General features: G+C 40.1%; 1 protein-coding gene, 1 long non-coding RNA gene and 1 pseudogene across 4 annotated transcripts in view, besides 1 other annotated feature; 1 reads left to right on the top strand and 2 right to left on the bottom strand.

Moving 5' to 3' along the window:
- Positions 1–8,370, top strand: part of ZNF208 (zinc finger protein 208) — a 71,129-nt gene extending 62,759 nt beyond the window's left edge. For both annotated transcript variants that reach the window (NM_001329974.2, NM_001329971.2), the window contains one exon: positions 6,761–8,370. In NM_001329974.2, the coding sequence (NP_001316903.1) occupies positions 6,761–6,873 (113 nt within the window). In that variant the 3' untranslated portion in view covers positions 6,874–8,370. The remainder of the gene's footprint in view (positions 1–6,760) is intronic.
- Positions 172–372: a silencer, noted in NCBI's record as "peak3414 fragment used in MPRA reporter construct". NCBI's record gives its function as "represses an SCP1 promoter by STARR-seq MPRAs in K562 erythroleukemia cells {active_cell/tissue: K562}" and the evidence as "EXISTENCE:reporter gene assay evidence [ECO:0000049][PMID:32103011]".
- MTDHP2 (metadherin pseudogene 2) lies at positions 6,652–7,365 on the bottom strand (annotated as a pseudogene).
- A 2,419-nt stretch (positions 8,371–10,789) lies between the features above and the next one.
- LOC105372325 (uncharacterized) lies at positions 10,790–24,084 on the bottom strand. 2 transcript variants are annotated; one of them, XR_001754074.2, is made up of 7 exons: positions 23,997–24,084; positions 20,818–20,900; positions 18,117–18,235; positions 17,812–17,969; positions 16,932–17,051; positions 16,714–16,825; positions 10,790–10,866 (listed from the first exon to the last, which is right to left on the bottom strand). It is a non-coding gene; the product is annotated as an uncharacterized LOC105372325 (long non-coding RNA). The 2 variants fall into 2 exon arrangements; XR_007067203.1 differs by lacking the exon at positions 17,812–17,969.
- Between the last annotated feature and the right edge of the window lie 1,049 nt (positions 24,085–25,133).

Below are 25,133 nucleotides of genomic sequence, written 5' to 3'. Positions count from 1 at the left end.
GAATGCACTAGAGGGGAATGCAAACTGTAGACGGTTTGTTACCTATCTAGAAAAAGGGGAGACAAGGCTTTCCTCAGTCCCCTTTCTCTTTTTGGTGTGGCGGAAAGAGAAAAAGGGCATACCACTTCTCGACCTTCCTTTTTTCCCTCTGGTTCCCAGCCACCATCATAGATGTTACCCATGGATGCGAGCATGACCTTCACCCATGGGTCCAGAGGAGCTCGTTGGCAGGACACGTTATGCTCACCTTCTCACCTAGCTTTCCATCCCGCTCGTTTTCTAGATCCACTCAGCCCAAAAGACTCTCAAGGTACTCCAGTGGCTGGGGAGAGATTATGCAGTAGTTGGATTTAGGCAAGATACTTTTATAGAGGGAATGCCCTAATACCATTTTTGGCTTCCCCTGCTATGGCCCCAGGAAAACATCAGAATCCCAGAGAATGGGATGAGTTTACCTTCAACATAAAATTCCTTTTTGTTCAAATTCCAGTGTAGTTTGATGAAGAACATGTGCCTTAAAAATGTGTAAAAATTGAAGATTTGTTTTGTCAGCATGGCTTCTTCCAGCTGTTGAAAGTTGAGTTTTTCTGTTTAGAAATAGGGCATGAGGCCTTATCAGTGATAAAGGGATGTAAAAGGGAAAATAATTGGGGGACTGTAAGTTTTGGAGGGAGCATTGACAAGGCTTCCTATGGAGAACAATCCCATTCCACTAGGGGTGCTGTAAAATTAGAAATCCTAGGTAAAAACTCCAACTTTATATTTTTAGGCAAAAGTTAGAAGGAGGTTTGGGTTTTGATAGGCTGTTCCTATAGCATATGCCCCAGAACAAACAAAAATGAACTTGTCTCATAAAGGAACTGTTTAGATTCATTGGATAGTGCTGAGCTTTCACATGGAGAGAAAAAAACAAATCAAATGCAAAGGAGGGTATTTACTCAGGGTGAAATATTCTCTCATACAGTGCCATGAATGTTTATTACTGTATTACTGTGGGAGAGAAAGGCCCTTACTGAGTAAAAATTTAGAGATATTTTGAATTCGCCCTGTTGCTAGGAAATTATAAAACAACAACTCTGAGTTACATATCTGATGACTAAGACACTGACTGACTTTACTCAGCATGATTATATCCATAGGCTGTAAAAACATTCACAACATTGCATACAAAGAATGAATAGGAGAAATTATAGGTACCAAAAAAAAGAAGAAGAAGAAAAAAAATGAAATGAAAAAAAAAAGACTGGAAGTTCTTGTGCCAACACCTTCATTGGCTGTTGGGGACTGGAGTTGGTCCAAGGGCTTTTAGGTAACACTGAGGTATAGACTCAACCAGAAACCTTCAGTTGCCATAGGACCTCCTTTCTGTTCCACACAATGGGTAGGCCCTTCGTGAAAGGAAACTGGATTAGAACAGAGCCAATGTTTTCAGGTTTGTCTCTAAGAGACAAAAACTTAGGACAAGAAGCCTCAGAAAGTAACTGAGGACAATGACCCTCACTCCTAATCACCCTTCTGATGAATTCCTTTCTCCCTGGCCAACACACCAAAATATGTTATAGTTTTATCAGTGCACCAAGATGTAACAACCTCTGTTGTTTGAGATAATACCCAGAATTCTTTGTGCTACATTCAAGAAGATTAAGGAGTGTGGACACAAGGGTGAGGTTTGGAACAAAAGTTTAATATGCAAAAAGAAAAAAGTCCTACTCCAGCAGAGAGGGAGGCCTGAATGGGTTGTCCACTATAAGGCTGTGATCCAGGGTTTTTACAAACTGGAATGGGAAAAAATTGTGCTTAGTTTGTGAGCTGTCTTAGAGAATGTGTGACTCAGCTTTGCCTGGGGCCTTGGCCTGAGACCAATCAGGGGCTGAAGTAATGATCCATAAAGGCTGCTCATGTTGGCCCAGAACCTATTAGAAGCTGATGCAAAAGCTTGGCCAAAGACCTTGGCCCACGACCAATCAAGGGCTAAAGTAATAATTTATAAATACCAGACTCACAGTTAAAAAAGAAAAGAAAGTGTCCACAGAACCCATCAAAGCCCACTGTGTTCATGCCCACAAAAAGAAAAAACTTTTTCCTGGGAGCCCACTGACTATGCAAAGAGCAGACATTTCTATGTCAGGCCTTGCTCCATTATCTAAGTAAGCCAGAGGTGTGTGCAAATTTTTATCTAAATGGGCTTTAGGTTCTCCTACTTGTGCATCCGAGGGCATGAGTCCAGGCACAACCCCCTGTGCTAGTTCCCTTAACAGTGTCTGGAGCTTTTTTTTTTCCAAGCTGCTTTTTCTGCTATGTGGGGATAAGGCACTAACCTGGGGGTTGGGGGCTCTCCATAAACCCTTGCCTTGCTATCTACCTAAGGCAAGCTAGCTAATGTCTCTCAATGCTAGTAAGGTTAAGTTCCTTAACACATTGAAAACATGCTTTAGTTTTACCTTAGCTTGGAAAGCCAAATTTGGTCAAAAGTAAATATAACAATATACTTCCATATAAATCATTTTGGAATTGAATTCAAATTATTAAATAAAATATTAAATTTGATATATGTATTTGACCATCAAATTTTTTTAAAAAGTTGAATAGATAGTGTGGTGAAGGTGAAACATGAGAGATATACATGCTTTTATGATAAATTATTTTGTGGTCATTTAAATTTTCAATTTAGCAGTGTTGACTGTGTTTAAAATGTGAATATTGACATGTAAGAGAAAAAATGTTGATAACAAAAAATACAAAACAAAGCATGATAGTGTGAATGGCTTTTCTGAAACCTCAGTTGTTGCCTTAGTTTCAAAAAAATTTAAACAAGAGACAAACACAAAGAAGATGCAGCATAAAGTAATTTATTGCAAAGGAGTAAGTCTATTTTAAAGGTTAGGTGCAGAATACCCAGTACATCTTGAGAGAGAAGGGATTCAGGGTGTGTTGCTTATGGAATGAGAAAGCAAAGACTGGAACTAGGGACTTTTTTATGGGAGTCTTATATAATTATTTATAAAGAGGTGGAAAGTGGTGTTATTAGTAAGCATGTTCTGGATGGCCCTCTTGATGCACGGACACAGTAGCTGTACATGCTTGTTCATTTTTCACATCTCACTAGCATCTTAAATCTCCACCCACAGGTGTGCTTTTTACTATTATAATGAGTAAAAGGTCAGTTTGAGGAAAGGTAAAATCAAAATGTGCATGCTGTTTACAGGGGAGTTTCTCTATTGGAGAGAGCTTTGCTTGAATAAGCTGGAATACAATGCGAATGCTGGGGCTTATTGTGTTGGCAATATGCAGCCACTGTACAATGGCCATGTTTGCTGCATCCCAAAGACATAGTCACTTTCTTGACTACCCATCCTTCCTCAATAGTACTTGTCTTGATTTATTCCAAACTACCAGCTCTGAGACTAAGATTTAGCTGTTATGTCAACATTGTCAACAGTGGGAAAATTAAAATTTTTAAATCAAACATATTTCAGCTTGATTTGGGTAATTAGCTGTGTGCCCGGGAAACAATACTTTACATCATTGGAGCTTCAATCTTCATTATTAACTAAAAATCCTATTTTCCCATAGCTGTTTTAATTCATACACGGTAGCTGTAAGTATTTTTTACTGAAAGTCTTGTCTAAATAATATAGTATATATTTAAGAATAAGAATAAAACCATGCATATTTCAAAATATTTTATTATAAGTGAGTGGGTATATTTTGTCATATGTAATATATTTATTTTTTCTAAAAATGCCAAAATAAGAATTTGATGATTTGTTGTGGAATAACAGGTTAAGGGTTTCTACATTGTGACTTTGCTAATTTTTGCATATGATTTTGACAACTACTGTTGAATTTAGGTTGAATTTTAAATCCACTGTTGTTTAGCTTGTGTGGTTTTTGGTTCATTTGGGGAGCCAAATATATTAGGCATGGACTGGTTGGGGTAACTTGGCTTCATTTCTGCTTTCTTTCTGTTATTACATATTGGGCTTCAGAAATGCCTAGGATTCAAATAAGGTTGGTTTGGAAACAAGGAGCAGAAAATCCCAGAAAAGACTGAGGGAAATATCTACTGAATAGTGCCTTTTAGTGAGATTTATACATGAAACAGCATTTAATGAAATTCATAAAATTATTGCAAGTTTTTTAAATTTAGAAACTAACTGCAAACAACATATTAGACACTAAGTCTTAGTTTGTCTATGGCATCTGTAGCTTGGGGAAGCTGACATTACAGACAAGAGTACTGCTACTGTAACAAGATATGGAACAAATACTTTTGTGTTTGTAAATATTCCCTTTAATAATCCTCAGATACATATCATTCTGGCTCAATACTTTTAGCACAACTGTGTATAATTCCAGAGACTCTATTCCACCAAATTAAAGTCATGATGTTCTCAGCTTTTTATGTTTATTTTTACCCAGTAAGACTCATAGTTGATATCATTATATTGAGGTCCCCCAGGCAATTGCTGAGCCTTAGAAATGACCATCCTATCTCATTTTTTTTGTTTCACATGTCCTGTTAATGAGTCTCTCTCACTCTATATTTAAGCCTTAGTCAGGCTTCAGTTTGGAAGAAACAGAGGAATGGGTTGCCACATATGTTTAGTTGAGGATCAGGATCCTCCTGTGTATAAAGACTTTTACATTTATTATTCTTAGTACAAAGCAGTATTTTTAAGATGTGGACATGTTAATTCAAATTAAAGATAAATCATTTTTATTAGTATGCCACTGTGGCAAAACATCTGTATAAAGTTCATGCAATGGTCTGTTTCATACTCTCCCAAAATAAGGACAAATATGTATGCACTGCTGGATCTTAGTTTTTTGTTGTTGTTGTTGTTCAGTGTATTTTTTTGTTTATTTACATTTTAAAGGATTTTTTCCTAATTTATGATAATGTTAATCTACAGAAAGCTTACCAAAAGCTCTATTTTACTACATTTTTTAAAACCAAAGTCCAAATACTCAAACATTGAAAGTGACATTCTCGATTACCATTTTTCATTTGATGTATCTACACTTATTACTACTGCATTGCAGTTTTTTTCTTACGTGGTGCAAGGTTATAAAAGTGCCTTCCAGTTGATTTTTTAGGTAACAGTAGAATCTGTTTTCTCAGACAATAACAGGAGAATTTTGGATATATTACGTTTCGAGTTACTACAAGCAACTTGATAAATGTGCAGAAATTTGTCTTTGTTAATAGACATTTTATTCAAAGACCAAAGTTGGTCAGGTGCGGTGGCTCACACCTGTAATCCTAGCACTTTGGGAGGCTGGCAGTGGTAGATCACAAGGTCAGGAGTTCCAGACCAGTCTGGCCAACATAGTGAAACCCCATCTCTACTAAAAATACAAAAAAATTAGCTGGCTGTGGTGGTGTGTACCTGTAATACCAGCTACTCAGGGGGTTGAGGCAGGAGAATTGTGTGAACCCAGGAGGCGGAGGTTGCAGTGAACCAAGATTGCACCATTGCATTCCAGCCCGGATGACAGTGCAAGACTCTGTCTGAAAAAAAGAAAGAAAAGAAAGAAAGAAAAGTCATACAAACACACTGAAAATAAATTGGAATCTGGCACCTACACTGATTAACAGGTTGAGCAGGTTAAACTAGACCTAAATCCCTGTAAACAACATTGAAGACAGAATTTTTAAATTAAAAATATCTTCAACAATTTAATAAACCTATGGGATTAGCAAGAAGAGATTTGTTTACCCATCATCAATCAATATTAGGTTAAACTAGAAAACTTTGAATACACTGTTTATAAAATAAAATTAGTAAACTATCCCCAGAGCTAATCTGATTAAAACAAGACTTCTGGGTATTTAGAAACACCAAATTACTGATAAACATATCTATTTTTAACAGATCTTTGATCTTATATATATACTACTATTAAGTAAAACCTAGTACTAATAGATATGATTTATAAAATATTTGTGAATATTTATTACTGTAGTAAAATATCAAGAAATTATTTAAGTCTATTGTCTAAAAACTTTTCATTAAAATATTTGGTATTTTAATTGAATGCCTGTATTCATATCATACGGCAAACCACTCATTTCTTTACTATTTTGTCATTTTATAACTGAAGCCTGAATTTGTAGACATTTTTTTAAAAAACAATCTTTTCTCAAGAAAGATTTACACATCAAAATGTAGAGGTATTAATGTCACATTATAAACATAGTTTGCTGAACCCTACAGCAATTTGTAAAGTTTGTGTATACCAATCTTAGATTTTCTAAAACATAATAAAGTTTTTTTTTTACGTTGTCTTTAACATACTAAAGTCCAAAATATATCCAGGCAGGCAGGAACTATGGCTGCCACTTTTAAAAAACAAATGTTTTAGCACGATACACTATTCTGTGTATGTACGGATAAATAATCAAACTTTGAACTTTTCAAATCATAAACAGATACATTATTTGTTACTTTGAGCCTTTAATATGTAAAACAAATACAATTGACTCTTCTTAGTTTAAAATATACTTACTTTGAACAATTCAACTAATGCAAGACTATCAAAAACTTCATAAGCCATACAAATGTCAACTTCATTTTCAAAATTATAAGAACTCAAAAAAAAAAAAGCTAAAGCATGACACTTTAGTTTAAAAAAAAACAAATAACTTTTTATTTGCACTTGTGTTGAGAATCACCTTTATTCATTTAGGAATAAACAGGAAATGGTGCAGTTGTAACTCACTGTGTGGTGACTGTGATGGTATTTACTGTCCTAGGGATGGTGGGATCCAGTGGACCAGAATCGTCAGCACCTTACCATGTTCACTGCTGTCCTTTCGTTCTGTCACTAAGATTAGTTTCCGAGACTCATCAACTCTTTCTATCATGATGTGAACTGTTTTGCACTGCGTTAGCGTCTGCCTTTGGTTTCTGCTAATTTTCTTTGACTTTCATTTTTCTTGTCCTTCTCTGGTGTTTGCTTTGCTGCTCCACTTTGAGGAGTTTGGGCAGCTTCACCCTCAGCCGCTCCAGCAGTTCCTCCATTTGGCTGAAGCTCTCCGTTCTTCTGTTCTTGGCGTCTGACATTTGTCAGCAAGGCCTGGTTTACAGGGACCACGGCTACCGCCTCCTCTGCGGGGCACCTCCTTCACTTCCGGAGGGCGCCAGTTCCAGTCGTGACCCAGCTGAGCACAGCAGGAACCGCCGCAGCAGCCGGAGCGCCCACGCCCACGGTCGCCCAGCCCGGGGATGCCTCGGCTCAAAGCCGGGGTCGCGGCTCAGCTTAGTGCGCAGAAATCCGAGGTCAACCAGAGCATTTCCCACAGCTGGCCGAGCCCTCCTCGACCTGCGGGGCCAGTTTCTCCCACTGGCTTTCTGCTGCCACCTCCCCTTCCATCAGAGGGACGCTCAGGATTGTGCAGGGGCCCGTAGACACCGTGAGGAGTCCAGGGAAGTGAGGAGGGGCTGGGCCGGGCAGGCTCAAGCCCAGCGCACGGCCGCACCCCTCACGCCTGAGCAGAGATCAGCCACTGCCACCGCGGGGAGGACAGAGGGACCCAGGATCCCCCAGCCAGCCTCCCTCTGCGTCAGGAGAGGAGGGAACTATTTCCAAAATATATATAGAGAGAGAGAGTAGAACTGGCATATCTGACCCAATCGAGTTTTCAGTTTTTCTTTTCTTTTTCGCCTTTTCCTCTCAAATTATGCTCGCCTAAAGTGAGAGTTCATTTTTCATTCTCACGTGGCAATTTAATTTTTTAATGGTCACAAACTTAGAGACTAAAATTTTTACTCTATTTTACCTAAGAATGATGAGGTAACATCAAACTTTTAATAGTGCTTTCTGAATTTTACAGTTTATTACCTTAGATTTGATTCTATCAACTAAACAATAATAACTAAAAAAGTCTTGGTTTGCATAGCTTGACCATTTACAAAGGGGATGTATTTATTCATTTAAATGATAAATGTGTGTTGAGCACACACGTTGTGCCATACTTCTTGCTAGCTTTAGGAGATAAAATGGAGAAAAAAAATATTGCTCTTTACTCTTATAAAACTTTCAGTCTTGCTACATAAAATTGGCCAGGTTGTTCTCGAACTCCCCACCTCGTGATCTGCCACCTCAGCCTCCCAAAGTGGTGGGATTACAGGTATGAGCCACCCCACCGAGCCTCTCCTAGAAGTTTTAAATCCTCGATATACATGAACAATTTTTGTGTTAGTTGCTTTGCAAGGATCCAATCTACCTAGGTAGAACCAATAGTTTAGCTATTAGTTTATTGACTAGTTCTGCTTTTCCAGTATAATTGTGTAACTGATTTCTCATTTTAACCTGTTGGCTGAAACCATGGATGCAATGTTTAATAAAAATCTTGAACACCAACATAATTATTATGTTTATGACATTAAAAGACAAACTTTCAGTAGTTATGTACATTTGCTGTACTTTATTTGAAATACCTTGTATATTTAGAAAATAAAATAAAATATTCTTTTATTTCTAGTTACCAAGCTCTTATTCTGTGCCTATTTTATGTAGACATGTAGATTATACAATGTTCAACTTATCCTGTACTCTTGAGATAAACTTATTGATGGTTTTATTCATTTTATACCGAGAAAGAGTCACTTTGTTTGTAATTGGTTTAAAAAATTTTTGTCTTGGCTGGGTGCGATGGTTCACACCTGTAATCCCAGCACTTTGGAAGACCAAGGCAGGTGGATCATGAGGTCAGGAGTTCAAGACCAGCCTGACCAACATGGTAAAACCTTGTCTCTACTAAAAATACAAAAATTAGCCAGGCATGCTGGCATGTGCCTGTAATCCCAGCTACTCAGGAGGCTGAGGCAGGAGAATTGCTTGAACCTGGGAGGCAGAGGTTTCAGTGAGTCGAGATTGGGCCACTGCACTCCAGCCAGGGCATCAGAGTGAGACACAGTCTCAAAAAAAAATTGTCTTTATGAATGAGATTGTCTATCATTGTCCTTGTTTTGTCTCCGTCAAGCTTTGATGTTAACTCAGGAATTGAGTTGTGCAGTATTTTTACCTATTCTAATTTTTAGAAAGGTTAAATAGTATCAACCTTATGCTTTTCAGTTTTAAATTTTGAATGCTTAGAATACTTACCAGATATTTTTCTGGCACTGATATTTGTTGCATATGTGTTAATTTCTACTGATCTAGCATCTAGTTTACTGGTTCTGTCTTGTACATGTAAGTTCAAATGTGGTTAGTTTTTATTTTAGTTATTGTATTATTCATTTTACAACTTATTTTTAGAATCTTTATATAGTTTCTTCTTTCCTGCATATACGTTCATTTGTCTTTTTTAGATATGGTAAGCATAGTTGTTTTTGATTTTTTGTGTCTGATAATTCTAATATTGGATGTCTTTGCAGATTTGTTTCTGTTATGTTTTTTTTTTCTGGTGTCTTTCACACGATCTTATTTATTGTGAACTTTGTCATATTTGCTTGCTTGCTTGCTAGTCATTGCACATAATGGAAAATTGTTTGCAAGGTTCATCAAGGTCTGGAATAGATGTAACTTTCTTTGGGAGTGTTTGCTTTTGCTTCTTTCTGTTTCCTGGGGATTCTACAATTTGAAGCAATTATTTGTACAACTTCAGGTAATATGGTTCATTCAGAATTAATATAATTGATGAAGAAATGTATGTAAGACCCATGTGTAGAAACAAGTTTGCAGATTTTTTTTTCTCTTTTTAAAAATTTTTCTTTATGACCTGTCCTCAACTTGAAGACAATCTTGTATGCCATTCCTTGGTGTTGGGAAGAAAACAACTGTTTGGGCCATACATATTCTTTGGAGTCCCAGGTTAATATTGAGAAGGTTTTTATAATATATCTCAAGTGCTAAACATCTAAAAGTACTTGATACATGTTAGAAAACATCATAATACTAGTAATTCTCAACACAAATTGTAAGGAATTAAGGTGCATTACTAGGTTCTATAAAAAGAATGTTTTTAGTTTGGAATATTTTTTGATAGATTGATTATGTTTTATGAACTGTGAATACATTTTTAATATGTATAAGGCAAAGAATGAGATGTTTGGATTCAAAGATGCATAAGATCAAACACTGAAGAAATTTTCTGTGTAGTCGGGGAGAAAAATAATGTTGAAAAAGCCAACGCACCCCATGGATTGCAAGTTTCTGCCTCCTGCCCTCACCTTACCTGGCTGCCAGACACCAAGATTTGTTTTTAATCTTTGAAGAAAAAGCTTCCCAAAGTGATGAGATTACAGGCGTGAGCCACCGTGCCCAGCTATTTTTTTCTATTTTTAGTTGAGATGAGGTCTCACTATGTTGCCCAGGCTTGTCTTAAATGCCTGAACTCAAGCAATCTTTTCCCCTTGGCCTCCCAAAATGTTGTGATTACAGGCATGAGCCAGCACACTTGACCCAATAAGTAATTTTAAAAATATGACAGAGAGCACATTGGGAGTCTGAAGCAGGAGGATTGCTTGAGCTGAGATTGAGAACAGCCTAGACAATATAGCAAGACCTTATCTCTACAAAAACAACAAAACAACAGTAAAAACAGAGAAGGCTTCTTCCATGTGACCTTCTACACCCTCAACCAGTGACTTTTCTGCAGGTAAACACTGTATAGGTTCATTTTATCTTTACACATATTTGCATGTGTATAATGTGATTTTATGTACCTTTAGAAATAGTATTGCATATGTGTTTCCTGGATGACACCATGTGTTCAGTGGTTAGAAGAGCAGGCTCAGAGTACCTGTGTAACCTTGGGCAAGTTTCTCGACTTCTCCGACTCATTTGTTACTCAGGGATAATAACATCTGAGTAAAATTAGTGCTGTTCTTTGAATGTAATAATAAAGTAGATAAACTATTTCAAGAGGAGAAAAATTTTACAAAAGACAAAAGAGGATATTTAGAGATACATTCAAGATTCAAACATAATATTTTTTAAAATGTCATGACATTAAACTTGAAAATTTAGATGAAATTATCTATTTTCCAGAAAAGTATGTGACAAAAATTGATTGTGGAAGAAACATGAGATAAATAGAAAAATCAAAAATTATGTTTTTAATTTTACACCCATAAAAAGCACATATATTATAAAATAACAGCTTTATAAATTTTTACAAAATGCATATATCATGAACCCAGCACCCAGTGACAGATGAGTGTGAACAATACAATTTGAACCGTGGACTGCATCCACATGCCATATGCAGGACCTCGTCAGTGGTCTCTGTTGATGTGTGAGAGTGACAATCCTCACTGTTGGCTGGGTATGCCTATGAGAATCACAATTTTAACTTTGTGCTGGGATCTGTTATGACACTCTCTGTACCACACAAGGGGGTCATAAAATTTGCATGAGTTTTGTAATCTTTTGTGACCTTCATACAAGTAGAAAGCCCAGGACCTTTCCCATTGTTTTAAGGCTACCTGTGAGAGTCAACATATCTCCTATGGCTAGGTCTGGGTATGCAAGTCCGTGCCTCTGAGCTAAGTCTGGAAATCAGTCACTATTCAACCTGTTCTCAGATCCACATATGACAATCAGAATTTTAACTGTGGACTGCACCTGCATGTGAGGTTCAGGACCTCACTAGTGTGCTACTGTCATGTTTGGAAGTGATGATCCTAATTGTTGGCTTGGTATGCCTATGAGAGTCACAATCTCACTATGTGCTGGGCCCTTATTATACTGTCTATATTACTCAAAGTATTTATAGAATATGCACACATTTTATCAACTTTTGTTACCCTTCTAAATGTAGGAGACTTCGGACTTTACCCACTGCTCAAAATCTAGCTAAGAGAGTCAAAATCACTCCTAGTGTCTGGTTTTCTATATGAGCATGGGCATAATGCCTGTGAGCTGGGAAACACGCATAGTTTGAAATTTAACCTGTGAGAATGGAATAGGCAAGATAATCAAATCACCTGAATGCTGGACCAAAAAGATGTCAATATCCACTCTCTGGGCAGGGCCATGGCAGTGAAGTCACATAACCTGGGAACTGGGCCTAACAGTATGTCACAATGCCTCTTGTGGGTAGGGTTCAGTTAGAAAAGTTACATTTCCTGTGTGCGGGACACAGTATTGTGACAGTAATATGTCACAATCCACCCTGTGTACAGGGCCCAAGCAGAAAAGGAGAGTCACATTACTTAAGTGATGTGTCCAGTTATATGCCACAACTCTTGGTGTTGGCAGGGCCCAGCCAAAGAAGATAATCATTTAACCTAGGTGATGGGCCCAGTGATATATCACAATCTCCCCTGAGGACCTATGCAGTAGAGTAAAATAACTTACATGGAGGGCTCAGGTATATGTCACAATTCCATTTGCAGGCTTTTCCCCAGCAGGAGGACCAAATATTTCAGGCATTGGACAAAGGTATATATTGCAAATACACCAGCAAAAGATCCAGAAATAAAATTTAAACTTTCACGCATTTTCTGGCTCCAGGTATGAGAGTCAAGACCTCCTGTGAGTTGGGTCTAAGTACATGAGTCACAGTCTTAATAGTGGACTGCATCCCTGCATGAGAGCCACAATTCTAAATGCAGGTTTCTCAGTATACGAGTCACAGCCTCACAGGCATGCTGAATCCTGGTCTTTGAGTCACTATCTTACCTGTGGACAAGATGTATTCACGAAAGTCACAATTCCAACTTTCGGCTACCTGCACATGTGAGGTTCACAGCCTCAACAGTGGATGGTTTCCATTTGGGAGGGTGACAATGTTTACTGTTGGCTGAGTGTGCATAAGAAAGTCACAATTTCACCTGTGTCCTGGGTCCTGTTATGACACTCTCTGTACCACCCAAGGGCTTTATGTGGTATGAGCGACAGTCACAATCTGCTTTGAGATCTTCATGCTGGTGTGAACCAATGATCGTACCCATTGTTCTATTACCAGGTATGTGTCAACATCTCTCTTATTGGTCAGATATATTTATGACAGTCATCACAGTGCTTGTAAGCTGGCTCCAAAAATAAGTCACCATATCAACTGTCCCAGTACACATACGAAAGTCACAATTCCAATTGTGGACTGTGCCTGTGAGATTCAGGACCTCACCAGTGGCTCTGTCAATGTGTGAGGGTGACAATCCTAATTGTCAGCTGGGTTTGTCTACAAGAGTAGTAATTTCACTTGGGTGCTGGATCCTGTAATCTCTAAATGTCACACAAGGGCTTTAGAGAATATGCTTGTCATAATCTTATGTGACCTTTCTTCACCCAGAACCTTATGCTTCTTCACCCAGAACCTTACCCATTGCCCTAAGCCTAGAAAATAGAGGCCAAATCTCCTGTATCAACTGGGTCCACGTATGAGGGCTATCATTACGCCTCTAAACTTGGCCTAGATATATGTCGCAATACCTCCTGTGAGCAGAAACCAAACGAGAGTCACATCACTTTGGTGCTTGGCCAAAGATTTGTTACAATCCCACTCATAAACAGGACCCAGGAAGAAGATGTGTCACAATGGCCACTGTAGGCAGGAGTCACATCACCTGGGTGCTTGGCCCAGCTATATGTCACAATCTATTCTGTTGGCAGAACACAGGCAGGAAATGAGAGTCACATCACCCAGGTGCTGGGCCTAGTTATATGTCACAATCCTCCTGCAAGCAGGGTCAAAGCAGAACACAAAAGTCACATCATGGAAATGATGGGCCCAGTGACATGTCACAATCCCCACTGAGGGCAGGGCCCAGGGGAAAAAAAGAGTCAAATCACATAGGTGATGGGTTCAGGCATGTCGCAATGCCTTTTTTGGGAACAGCCTAGGCAGGATTGGAGAGGCACATAACCTACATATATGTCCTGGAGATATGTCACAATCCCCCCTGAGGGCAGAGCCCAGGCAGGAGCATCACATATTCTAGATACTTCACCAAGGTGTATGTCAAAATCTCAACTATAGAAAGGGCTTCTGCAGGAGAGCAAAATTCATCAGTTCTCTGCCAAAGATATATGTAACGATCATCCCGCGGGAAGGTCCAGACGTAAGATTTACAATCTCACACTTGTCCCAGCTTCAGGTATGAGAGTCAACTACTCCTGTGAGTTATGTTCAAGAATGTGAATCACATTTTTAACCATGGACTGGATCAGTGCCTGAGAAAGCCAACACCAACTCTGGACAGTGTTTCAGTGGGGGCAGTCACTGCCTCATAGGTGTGATAAATTTTGGCCTGAAGATACAATCCTAACTATCCTACCTGTCACCATCCTACTTGTTAATCAAATCTACCTATGAGAATCACAATTCCAACTTTTGAATACCCCTGAATGTGAGATTCAGAACCTCAACAGTGGGCTGTGTCCATGTGAGAGGGTGACAGTTCTTACTTTTGGCTGCATGTGCACACAAGGGTCTCAATCCCACTCGTGCTGAGCCCTGTTATGACACAATCTATACCACCCCAGAGCTTTATGCAGGATGCATAAGAATTGAAATTTCCTATAAGATATAGTGCTGATATAAGCTCATGATCTTACCCATTGCCCTAAGCCTGAGAGTCAACATATCTCCTATTGGCTGAGTCCAGGTATGAGAGTCATCCCTGTGACTGTGAGCTGGGTTCAAAAATGTGTCAACATCTAACTTGTGGCCAGATCCACATATGACATTCATAATTCCAACTGTGGACCGTGTTTCCACTTTAGATTCTAGACCTCACCAGTAGGCTCTGTTCCTGTTTGAGGGTGACAATCCTAACTGCTGGCTGGGTGTGTTTAAGAGAGCCACAATCTCACCTGTGTGCTGGGTCCTGCTGTGACACTCTCTGTGCCACCCAAGGCCTTTATATTATAAACATGTTTGTAATCTTCTGTGACCCTCATACAAGTAGGGGAACCAGGACCTTACCATTTGCCCTAAGCCTAGCTATGTGAATTAATATATCTTTTTTTTTTTTTTTGCTGATTCCAGATACAAGATTCATCATCATGCCTGTGAGCTGGGTCCAATAATGAATCACCATCCTACTTGTGGCCAAATGCATATATGACAGTTACAACTCTAACTGCAGACTGCATCGGCATGTAAAATTTAGGTCACCAGTGGGCTCTCTCCATGTTTGAATGTGGTGATTCTAATGGTCAGCGAGGTGTGCATAGGAGAGTCACAATCTCATCTTCAGGTGGGCCTTGTATCAGCACTCTCTCTACTACCTTAAGACTGTATGACACATGGGTGAGCTAAAAATGTTCTGTGACCTTTGTACAAGTAAAAGACACAAGACCTTGTTTGTTGTCCTACCCCTCACTATGTGAGTAAAAAATTGCTTCTATCAGCTGGGTTTATGTATGAGAATCATCATCACGCTTTTGAGCAGGGCTCATGTATGTGACACAAAGCCCACTGTAAACAGGGCCTGTGAAAAAGAGTAGAGGCACATTACCTAGATGCTGGGCCCAGTGATATAATTTTATTTTGTGGGTAGGACCAAGACAGTAGAGAAATGTCACATCACTAGGTTCTGAACTTAGTGATAAGTAACAATTATCCCTGAGGGCAGGGCCCAAAAAAAAGTCACACTACCTAGGTGCTTGGCCCAGGTATATGTTAAGATCCTAACTGTATGCCAGGCTCAGACAAGAGAGTTAAATTACTCAGGTGCTGGGCAAAGCTATATATCACAATCACACCTGCAGAAAGGTTAAGTGATATGATTTACAATCCCACACATGTCCCAGCTCTATGTATCAGAGTGAACTCCTCCTGTGAACTGGGTCTCAGTAAGGGTGTCACAATGTCAAAGGTGGACTGGATTTGTGCATGACAGCCACAATCACACCTGCAGACTGCATCTCGGTAGAGGAGTCACAGCCTCCAGGTGTGCTGCCTCCTGGTCTGAGGTCATCATCTCAGCTGTGGACCACATCCACCTATGAGAGTCACAACTCCAACTTTTGACTGCTTCTGGTTGTGAGATTCAGAATCTCAACAGTGGGCTGTGTCCATGTAGGAGGTTGATAATCCTTACTCTGCCTGTGTGCATACCAGAGTCACAGTCTCACCTGTGTGCCAGACCCTGTTATGACCCTCTCAGGACCAATGGGGGACTTTGTACAATATGTATAGTGTCATAATCCTCTGCTACCTTTATGCAAGCAGGAGACCTAGAACCTTATGTGCTGCCCTAAGCCTAGTTAACAGAGTCAACGTCTCTCCATTTGGCTGAGTCCAGGTGAAAGAGCCTTCACTATTTTCTAAGCTGGATCCAGAAATGAGTCACCATCTCACCTGTGATCAGATTGAAATATCACAGTCACAATCCCAACTGTGAACTGTGTCAGGGCATGAAATTTAGGACCTCACCAGTGGGCTCTGTTTATATGTGAGGGTGATGGTACTGTCAGCGGTGTCTGCATAACAAAGTCACAATCTCACCTGTGTGCTGGGCCCTGTTAATTAATCTCTATACCACCAGAGGGCTTTATACAATATGCATGAGTGTCATAATCTTCTGTGACTTTCATACAGGTAGGAGACCCAGGACCCTATTAATTTCCTTAAGCCTAGCTATAAGAGTCAGCATCTCTTCTATTGACTGGGTCAAGATATGAGAGTTCTCACTGTGCCTGTGAGCTAACTCCATAAACAGGTCAACATCACACCTGTGGCTGGATCTACACATGACAGTCAAAATTCCAACTGTGGACTATGTCCGTGTACAAGATTCAGGACCTCACCAGAGTTCTCTGTCCATGTGCGATGATGACACTCATAACTGTTGGCTGGATGAACATCCAAGAGTCACAATTTCACCTGTGTGCTGGGTGCAGTTTTATGTAAAATTCTCACCTGTGGAAAAGAAACCAACTAGGAGGGTCGCATATTTTAAGTGCTGGGCTAAAGATATGCTACAATATCTCCTATGGGCAAGGCCCAGGAAGGAGAGTCAAATTACCTGTGTGCTGTGACCAGTGATATGTCACAATGCCTTCTATGGGAATGGCCTAGGCAGGAGTTTTCAATTTCCCTTGTGCTGGTCCAACGATATGTCACAATCCCCCTCAACTGGCATGGCCTGAAGAGAATAGAAGAGTCACAGCACCTAAATTATGGCCACAGAGATATATCACCATACCTCCTGTGGGCAGGGCCTAGGATAGAAGCTTACATTACCTGCAATCTCGGCTCAGTAAAATGAGTCAATCTCTCCTACGGCTAGGGCCCAGGCAGCAGAGGAGAATCATATCACCTAAGTGCTAAGACCTGTGGTATGTCACAGGCCATTTTGAGGGGGCAGAATGCAGGCAAAAGAGGAAAGTCACATCACCTAGGTAATGAGTTCAGAGGTAAGTCACAATACCTACTGTGGGCAGGGCCCAGGCCATACAGTCACATCACGGAGGTGCTGGGCTCAGTGATATCTCACAATGGCTCTGTGGGCAGGGCCCTGGCTGAAAATAAGATACACATGACCTAAGCACTGAGCCCAGTGATATTCTACAGCACCCTCTGTGGATAGGGCTCAAGCATGAGAGTCACATCACCTAGGTGTTTGACCCAGGTATCTGTCACAATCCCCTCTGAGGGCTGGGTCCAGGCAGGGAAGTAAAATCACTTAGGTGCTAGGCCAAAGTATATGTCACAACACTTGTGGGAAGGTCCAGGGCTAAGATTCACAATTCCACATGTGTCCCAGCTTCAGGTAAAAGAGTCAACACCTCCTGTGAGTTGCATCCAAGTACATGAGTCACAATCTCAATGATGGACTAGATTCATGCATGAGAGTCCCAATTCCACCTGCAGGCTGTGTCCTGATATCAGAGCCAAAGCCTCACCTGTGTGATGAACCCTGATCCTAGAGTCATCATCTACCTCTGGACAAAATGCACATACGAGAATCAGAATTCCAGCTTTCAACTGCATCCAGATGTACAATTCAGAAGCTCATCAGTGGTCTCTATTCATGTGGGAGGGTGACACTTTTTACTGTGGGCTGGAAGTGCATATAAGAATCACAATTTCAGCTGTGTTCTGGGTCCTCTTATCACACTCTCTTTACCTCCATAGGGCTTTGCATTGTTTGGGCAAGAGTCACAATCCCCTTTGAGACATTGGTGCTGGTATAAACTCATGATCTTACCTCTTTTCCTAAGTCCAGGTATGAGAGTCAACACCTCTCATATTGGCTGGGTCCAGGTATGAAAATCATGACTGTGCCTCTTAGTTGGGTTCAGATATGAGTCACTCTCCCACCTGTGGCTGGATCCAAACATGACATTAAAAATTCAAACTGTAGACTCATCTGAGAATGAGATTCAAGACCTCACCAGTGGGTTCTGTCTATGTGTGTCTATGACAATTTTTACTCTTGGCTTGGTGTGCGCTTGAGAGTCACAATCTCCACTTTGTGCTGAGTTATGTAATGACACTCTCCGTACAACCTGAGGGCATTATACAACATGAGTGAGTTTGAAAATTTTCTGTGACTTTCATACAAGTGAGAAACACAAAACCTTGCTTCTTGCCCTAAGCCTCAAAATCAACACATCTTCTGCTGGCTGGGTTCATTGTGCAAGTGGGTTGGGTTCAGAAATTTGTCATCATCCAACCTGTGGCTGAATCCACATATGACAGTAACAATTTCAATGGTGAAATAGGTTTATGTGTGAGATTCAGGACCTCAGCAATGGGCTCGGTCTATATGTGAAGGTGGCAATTCAAATTGTTGGCCAGATGTATATAGGAGGGTTACAATCTCACCTGTGGACTGGGCCCTGTAATGACACTCTGTATTCCCCAAGAGCTTTATACCATATGTGTAAGTTTCATAATCTTCTGTTGCCTTCCTACAAGTAAAAGACCCAGACCCCTAAGTCTAGGTTGACCCCAGAGTCAACATCTCTCTTACTGGCTTGGTCCAGGTATCAGAGTCATCACTATTCCTGTGAGCTGAGTCCAGAAATGAGTCACCATCCCACTTACGGCAAGATATACATATGACAGTCACGATTCCAACTGTTGATGTGTTCACATATAAGATTCAGGACCTCAACAGTGGTCTTTATTCATGTGTTATGGTGACAATAGCCCCTGTTGGCTGGGTTTGCATACAAGCGGAAAAATTTCATCTGTGTGCTGGGCTAAGTAATATGTCACAATCTTACCTGCAGGAAAGGCTGAGAAATGAGAATGATGTCACTTGAATTCTTCACCTGTAAAATGTCTCAATCCCCTCTATAAGCAAGGCCCAGGCAGGAGAGTAACATCATTTGTGTGCAGGGCCGAGTGACATATCATAATATTTCCTCTATGTCAAGGCAGGAGAGTCACAACATTCAGGTTCTGGGCCCAGAGACATGTCACAATCCTCTTTGGGGGCATTTCTCAGGCAGCAATGAAGAGGCATATTATGTAGGAAATTGGTTCAGAGATGTGTCACAATGTCCCTTTTGGGTGGTGCACAGGCAAGCAAAGAGAGTCACATCATCTAGATAATGGGCCTAGCAATATGTCACAATACCCTGTGATGGAAGGGCATAGACAAGAAAGTCACATAAACTAGGTGAGAAAACCAGAGATATGTCACAATGTATGCTATGAGTAGGGATCATGGAAAAGAGGATAGCCATAAAACCTAGGGGCTGCACCCAGATATATGTCACAATTACCCCAGTGGGTAGAGCCTAAGCATGAGAGGAGAGTCAAGTAACATAAATGCTGTGCCAAGCAATATGTCAAAATCCCCACTGTGGACATATCCCTTCCCGCCCTAAAAAAGAGTCACATTATCTGCATTTTTGGGACCACAGGTATGTATCAATGATGCCTGTGGGCAGAAAGCAGGCAGAAGAACCACATCACTTGTGTGCTGGGTCCTGATAAATCACTCTTATCTGTAGTCATGGCCCAGACAGAAGAGGCAAGTCAAATTAGCTGGGTGCACAGCCCAGAGATACATCATAGTGTCTACTATAGGCAAAGCCCAGGAAAGAGAGGAGACTCAGATCAAACAGTCAATGGACCCAGAGATATATCACAATGCCCCCTGCAAGGAGGGTCCAGGCAAAGGACTCAAATCTCTTTTGCTTTGGGCCCAGCAATATGTTGCCATGCCTTCTGAGGGTAGGGCCAAAGTGAAAGAGTAGTATCACCTTGGTGTTGGGCCCATCAATATGTCAGTATCTTTTGTGTTAGCAGAACATAGAAAAAAAAGGAAGAGTCACATCAACTGGGTGCTGAGCCCAGGGATATGTCCCATTTCCTCCTGTGATCAGAAACCATGCAGGAGAAGAAAGTCAAAACACATAGGTGATGGGCACAGAGATATTTTATAATGTCCCCTGTAGGAAGGGCCCAGGCAGAAAAGTAACATCACCTGGGTATCGGACAGTGCAATATGTCAATATAGCCAATGTGGTTAGGGCACAGGCAGAAATCACATAACCTGGGTGAAGGGCCTGGCAATACATCACAATGCCTTCTATGGGCAGAGCCAAGGCAAGAGAATAGGTTACATCAGCTAAGTGCTGCACCACGTGATATGTCATGATCTCTGCTGAAGGCTGGACCCAGGCAGGAGAGTCAAATCACTCAGATTCTGGACAGAGGCATACATCAGATTCACACCTATAGGAAGGTCCAGGGATAAGATTAATCCCACACATGTTCCAGTTCCAGGTATGAGAGTCAACACCTGTAGGTTTGGTCTAAGCACATGAGTCACAGTCTCAACAAGGGACTGAATTTGTACACAAGAGACTAAATCTCTCCTGAAACCTGTGTTCCCTTAGTGAAGTCACAGCCTGACAGCCGTGGGGAGTCTTTGAGAGTCACCAACTCACCTATGTATCAGATCCACGCATGAGAGTTAATTCTCCAACTTTCCACTGCCTCTGGGTGGGAGATTCAGGACCTCAACAGTGGGCTGTATTCATGTGGAAAAATGACAGTCTTTACTATTGACTACCTGTGCATAGGAGTATCACAATGTTACCTGTGTGCTGGGCCTCGTGGGCACACCATCTCTACCATTCAAAGTATTTGTATGGTACGCATGAAAGTCAAAATCTGCTCTGAGACCTTCATGCTAGCATGCACCCTTGATTGTACCTGTGACCCTAAGCTCATTCATGAGAGTCAACATCTCTTCAGTAGATTTGGTTCAGATAGATTTCTCAACTGTCTATGAGCTGGGTTTAGAGATGAGTCACCATCCCAATTGTGGCTGGATGTTCACATATGACAGTCACAATTCCAACTGAACTGCATCCACCCATGAGGTTGAAGACCTCATCAGTGCACTGTGTGCATGTGTGAATGCCTTTTAGTTCATGTGACATAAGTAATCTTTGGGAAATAAAAACAGCTTTACATGCAAGGTGTGTAAGAAAAGTAGAATGTGCTTTCAGCTTAAGATTTAAAAAAAGGCATAAGAATGTTAATTTTGGTTCCTAAGTCAGAGATCTAAAGGTTTGTTTAAAATTAGAATAAACCTGAAGGTTTGAACAAGTTCTGGAAGCTTTCTAAAAAATTAATCTCATAAAAAATTCTGTGTGTGAACATACTGGCTAAAGTTAAATAGATGTTACTCAGTTTTTCCATAAATTGAACATTAGAATAAGAGCACAGCAGGTTTTTCTTAGAGCACAGATTTGCTCTTCAACAAACATTTTAAAGGGTTTTAAAAGATTTCTGAGAATCTTACCTTATAGTCAAACTAATTAAGATTTCATATGTTTGTATATAAGGTTTTATTAAGAAATGGGTTTGGCATCATTAGTATACTAACACAAAGGTGAAATATAGACTTTCACTCTTGAACAAGATATTCATGTGATATGTAAAAAATGAAAGATTTTGGTTTGTCTTTTGAATAAACTACAGCAAAAAGACAAGAGACAGATTGTTTGGAAAGCTAAGTCTTTCTTCTGTTAATAAGTAAAGGTTTCTGGCTTTTAAAAATTTTTTTAAAAAGAAAAGTTACCATTTTGGCTAAATGAATGACATAGGGTGACCTGGGATTTGATTTTATAATGTAAAATGTTTTAAACCTTTGCTATTTGAAAAACTTTCCAAAATTAAATTATAAATTTTGTCTTTTCTGACCTAATTAATCTTTTAGATATTAGGTCACCTAAAGTCCAAAAATGACATATTCAATTTATTTGGTATAAAAGTTATATAGAATATATTGTCAAACATGAAATGGTATTTGGCTTTCTTGGGGTTGTATTTGTACAAATAAGTCATTGGTGAGTGTTCTAAAATTATGGAATACTCCTGTAAGTCTCATATGACTTAGTGTATAGTATGTTACTAATAGTTATAATTGTTATGTAAAATTTTTTATTCCACAAGAGTAACCAATATTTCTAGTCAATTGTGGTTTTTGTTTGTGTTGTTTTGTTTTGTTTTGTTTGAGATGGAGTTTCACTCTTGTTGCCCAGGCTGGAGTTCAATGGCACGATCTCAGCTCACTGAAACCTCTGCCTTCCGGGTTCAAGCAATTCTCCTGCCTCAGCCTCCTGAGTAGCTGGGATTACAGGCATGCACCATCATGCCTGGTTAATTTTGTATTTTTAGTAGAGACAGGGTTTTTCCATGTTGGTCAGGCTGGTCTTGAACTCCTGACCTCAGGTAATCCACCTGCCTCGACCTCCCAAAATACTGGGATTACAGGCATGAGCCATTGTACCCGGCCGTCAATTGTGGTTTTAATAATGGCTGTTCTAAGGCTTTTTTATCACCCACAGACAATTGTTGTCCTGTTTTAATCCTTTTCAAAAGATGACCTATAGTATGCTATGGAACATTGATGGGTGCTTTTAAATGTAAATTTCTGATAACTTTGAAGACTGCAAAATTAGAACAGGAGAAAAACTTTCAAGACTCTCATGGAAAGCTAATAAATATCAAGGAGAACAAGAGTTTACTGCATGAACTGTACTAATAAAAGATGGAAGTAATATTTTTTGGCTTTTTGCTTAAAATGTTGTGGATCCTTTGTTTTTCAGAGTCAAGAGCACTTTTGAGCTATTTACAGCTTTTAACGATGGAGGAAAATAGACTCCTGTAAACATAATTTGGAATATATTTGTTTCTCTCTCCCTGATTTCTCCAGAATGTGCAAAGATATTGGTGAGTATTCTTAATTTATGGCAATATAGTTATTTGCTTAAGTGCAATAAGCATGTTTTCATTTGCAACAGGACACAATGGGAGACACAGGTTATTTTACCAAGGCTTTGACTGGAATAATGGTCTTTTCTTCGAGAAATCATACTTGATTTTTAGAGCCAGTAAAAGCTCTAAAATTGGCCTTGGGAAAATTGGCCTTCTACATTGTCTACAAAGTCCCTGTGCAGGGTTCCTGACATGTGGTAAGTAAGGAATGTCACTTTCTGACAGGCCCAACAGTCCCAAGTTATCCTGAGACCTCAAAAAGAAAGGAATTAACACAATTCCTGACTTCCAGAACATCACACTTTCTATGTCACAGGATAAGACAAGAGGTCAGCACAAGGTACCATTCAGAAAGATCTTTCTGATGAAAGAGGATGCAGTACAAAAGACAGCAAAAAAACACCAAAAGAAAAATTGCAATGAAAGTGACCTCTGGTAGTCCTCACTACTCATTATATGCTAAAGGTAATGCATTAGTATGCTAAAAGACACTCCCAACAGCACCATGACACTTTACAAATGTCATGGCAATGTTAAGCAGGTATCCTATATGGTGTAAAAAGGGGAGGCACCCTGATTTCTGGAAGCTGCCCATCCCTTTCCTGGAAAACTCACAAATAATCCATCCCTTGTTTAGTATGTAATCAAGAAATAACCATAAAAAGAGCCAATGAGCAGCCCTCAGGGCCTCTCTATCTATGGAGTAGATATTCTTTTGTTTATTTACTTCTCAATAAACTTGCTTTCACTTTAAAAAAATAAGTCACATCAAATAGTTGACAGGTCTAAAGATATGTTACAACGCCTTTTGTGGGCAAAGTGCAAGCAGAAGACTCACATAACCTTGGTGCTGTTCCCAGGAATATGTCACAGTGCCTTCTGAGTTCAGTTCAAAAATGAAAGTGTAACATCACATTAGTTTGAGGCCCAGTGATATGTCACAATCTCCACTGTGGGCAAAAAGTAGAAAGGAGAATCACATCAGTTAGATGCTGAGTTCAGCAATATGTCATAATGCCCCCTGTGAGCAGGGACCATGCAAAAAAAGAGAGTCACATTACCTGGGTTATTGGCACACAGATTTGTCATAATGCCCCCTGTTGGCAGGGCCTAGGCATGAGAGTTACATCCCTGGGTGTTGGACCCAGTAATATTTCATAATTTGTGGACAGGACACAGGCAGGAGAGTCATGTAACCTGGGTACATATCCCAGAGATATGTCAAAATACCTTTTATGGACAGTGTCAAGGCAGAAAAATGGAGTCACATCACCTAGGTGCTGGGTAGAGCAACACATCACAATTCCATCTGTGGGCTAGACCATGGCAAGGGTCATATCACTCAGATGCCAAATAGAGGAACATGTCAGCATCACTCCTGCAGGAAAGTCTAAGGAAAAGATGAACAATCTTACACATGTCCCAATTCTAGGTATAAGAGTCAACACTTCCTATATGTTGGGTCTAAGTAAATGAGTCACAGTCTCAGTAGTGGGCTGAATTTGTGCATGGAAGCCTCAATTTGTTCTGCAAATTCTGTTTTCTTACTGGAGTGATGGCCTCATAAGTGTGCTGAATTTTGATCTGAGAGTAACCAATCCACCTGTGGATTGGGTCTACAAGCAAGAGACAATGTTTCAATTTTCCACTGCCTTTGGTTATGAGATTCAATGCCTCAACAGTGGGCTGTATTCAGTGGGCTGTATTCATGAGGAAAGATGTCAATTTTTACTGTCAGCTGGGTGTGGATATCACTGTCACAATCTTACCTGTGTGCTGAACCCTGTTAGGACATTCTCTATACTACCCAAGATCATTGTAGAATAGGAATGAGAGCCACAATTTGCCCTGAGACCTTTGTACTGCTCCCTAAGCCCAGGTAGAAAAGTCAATATTTCTCAAATTGACTGGACCCAGACAGGAGAGTCCTCACTTGTCTATGAGCTGGGTCTAGAAATGAGTCAGCATCCCAACT

The sequence above is a fragment of the Homo sapiens genome, chromosome 19 (genome assembly GCF_000001405.40).
Source record: "Homo sapiens chromosome 19, GRCh38.p14 Primary Assembly".
Taxonomy (NCBI): Eukaryota; Metazoa; Chordata; class Mammalia; order Primates; family Hominidae; genus Homo; species Homo sapiens.
Note: the sequence above shows the minus strand (reverse complement) of the source record. Positions and strands in the feature narration are given on the sequence as shown.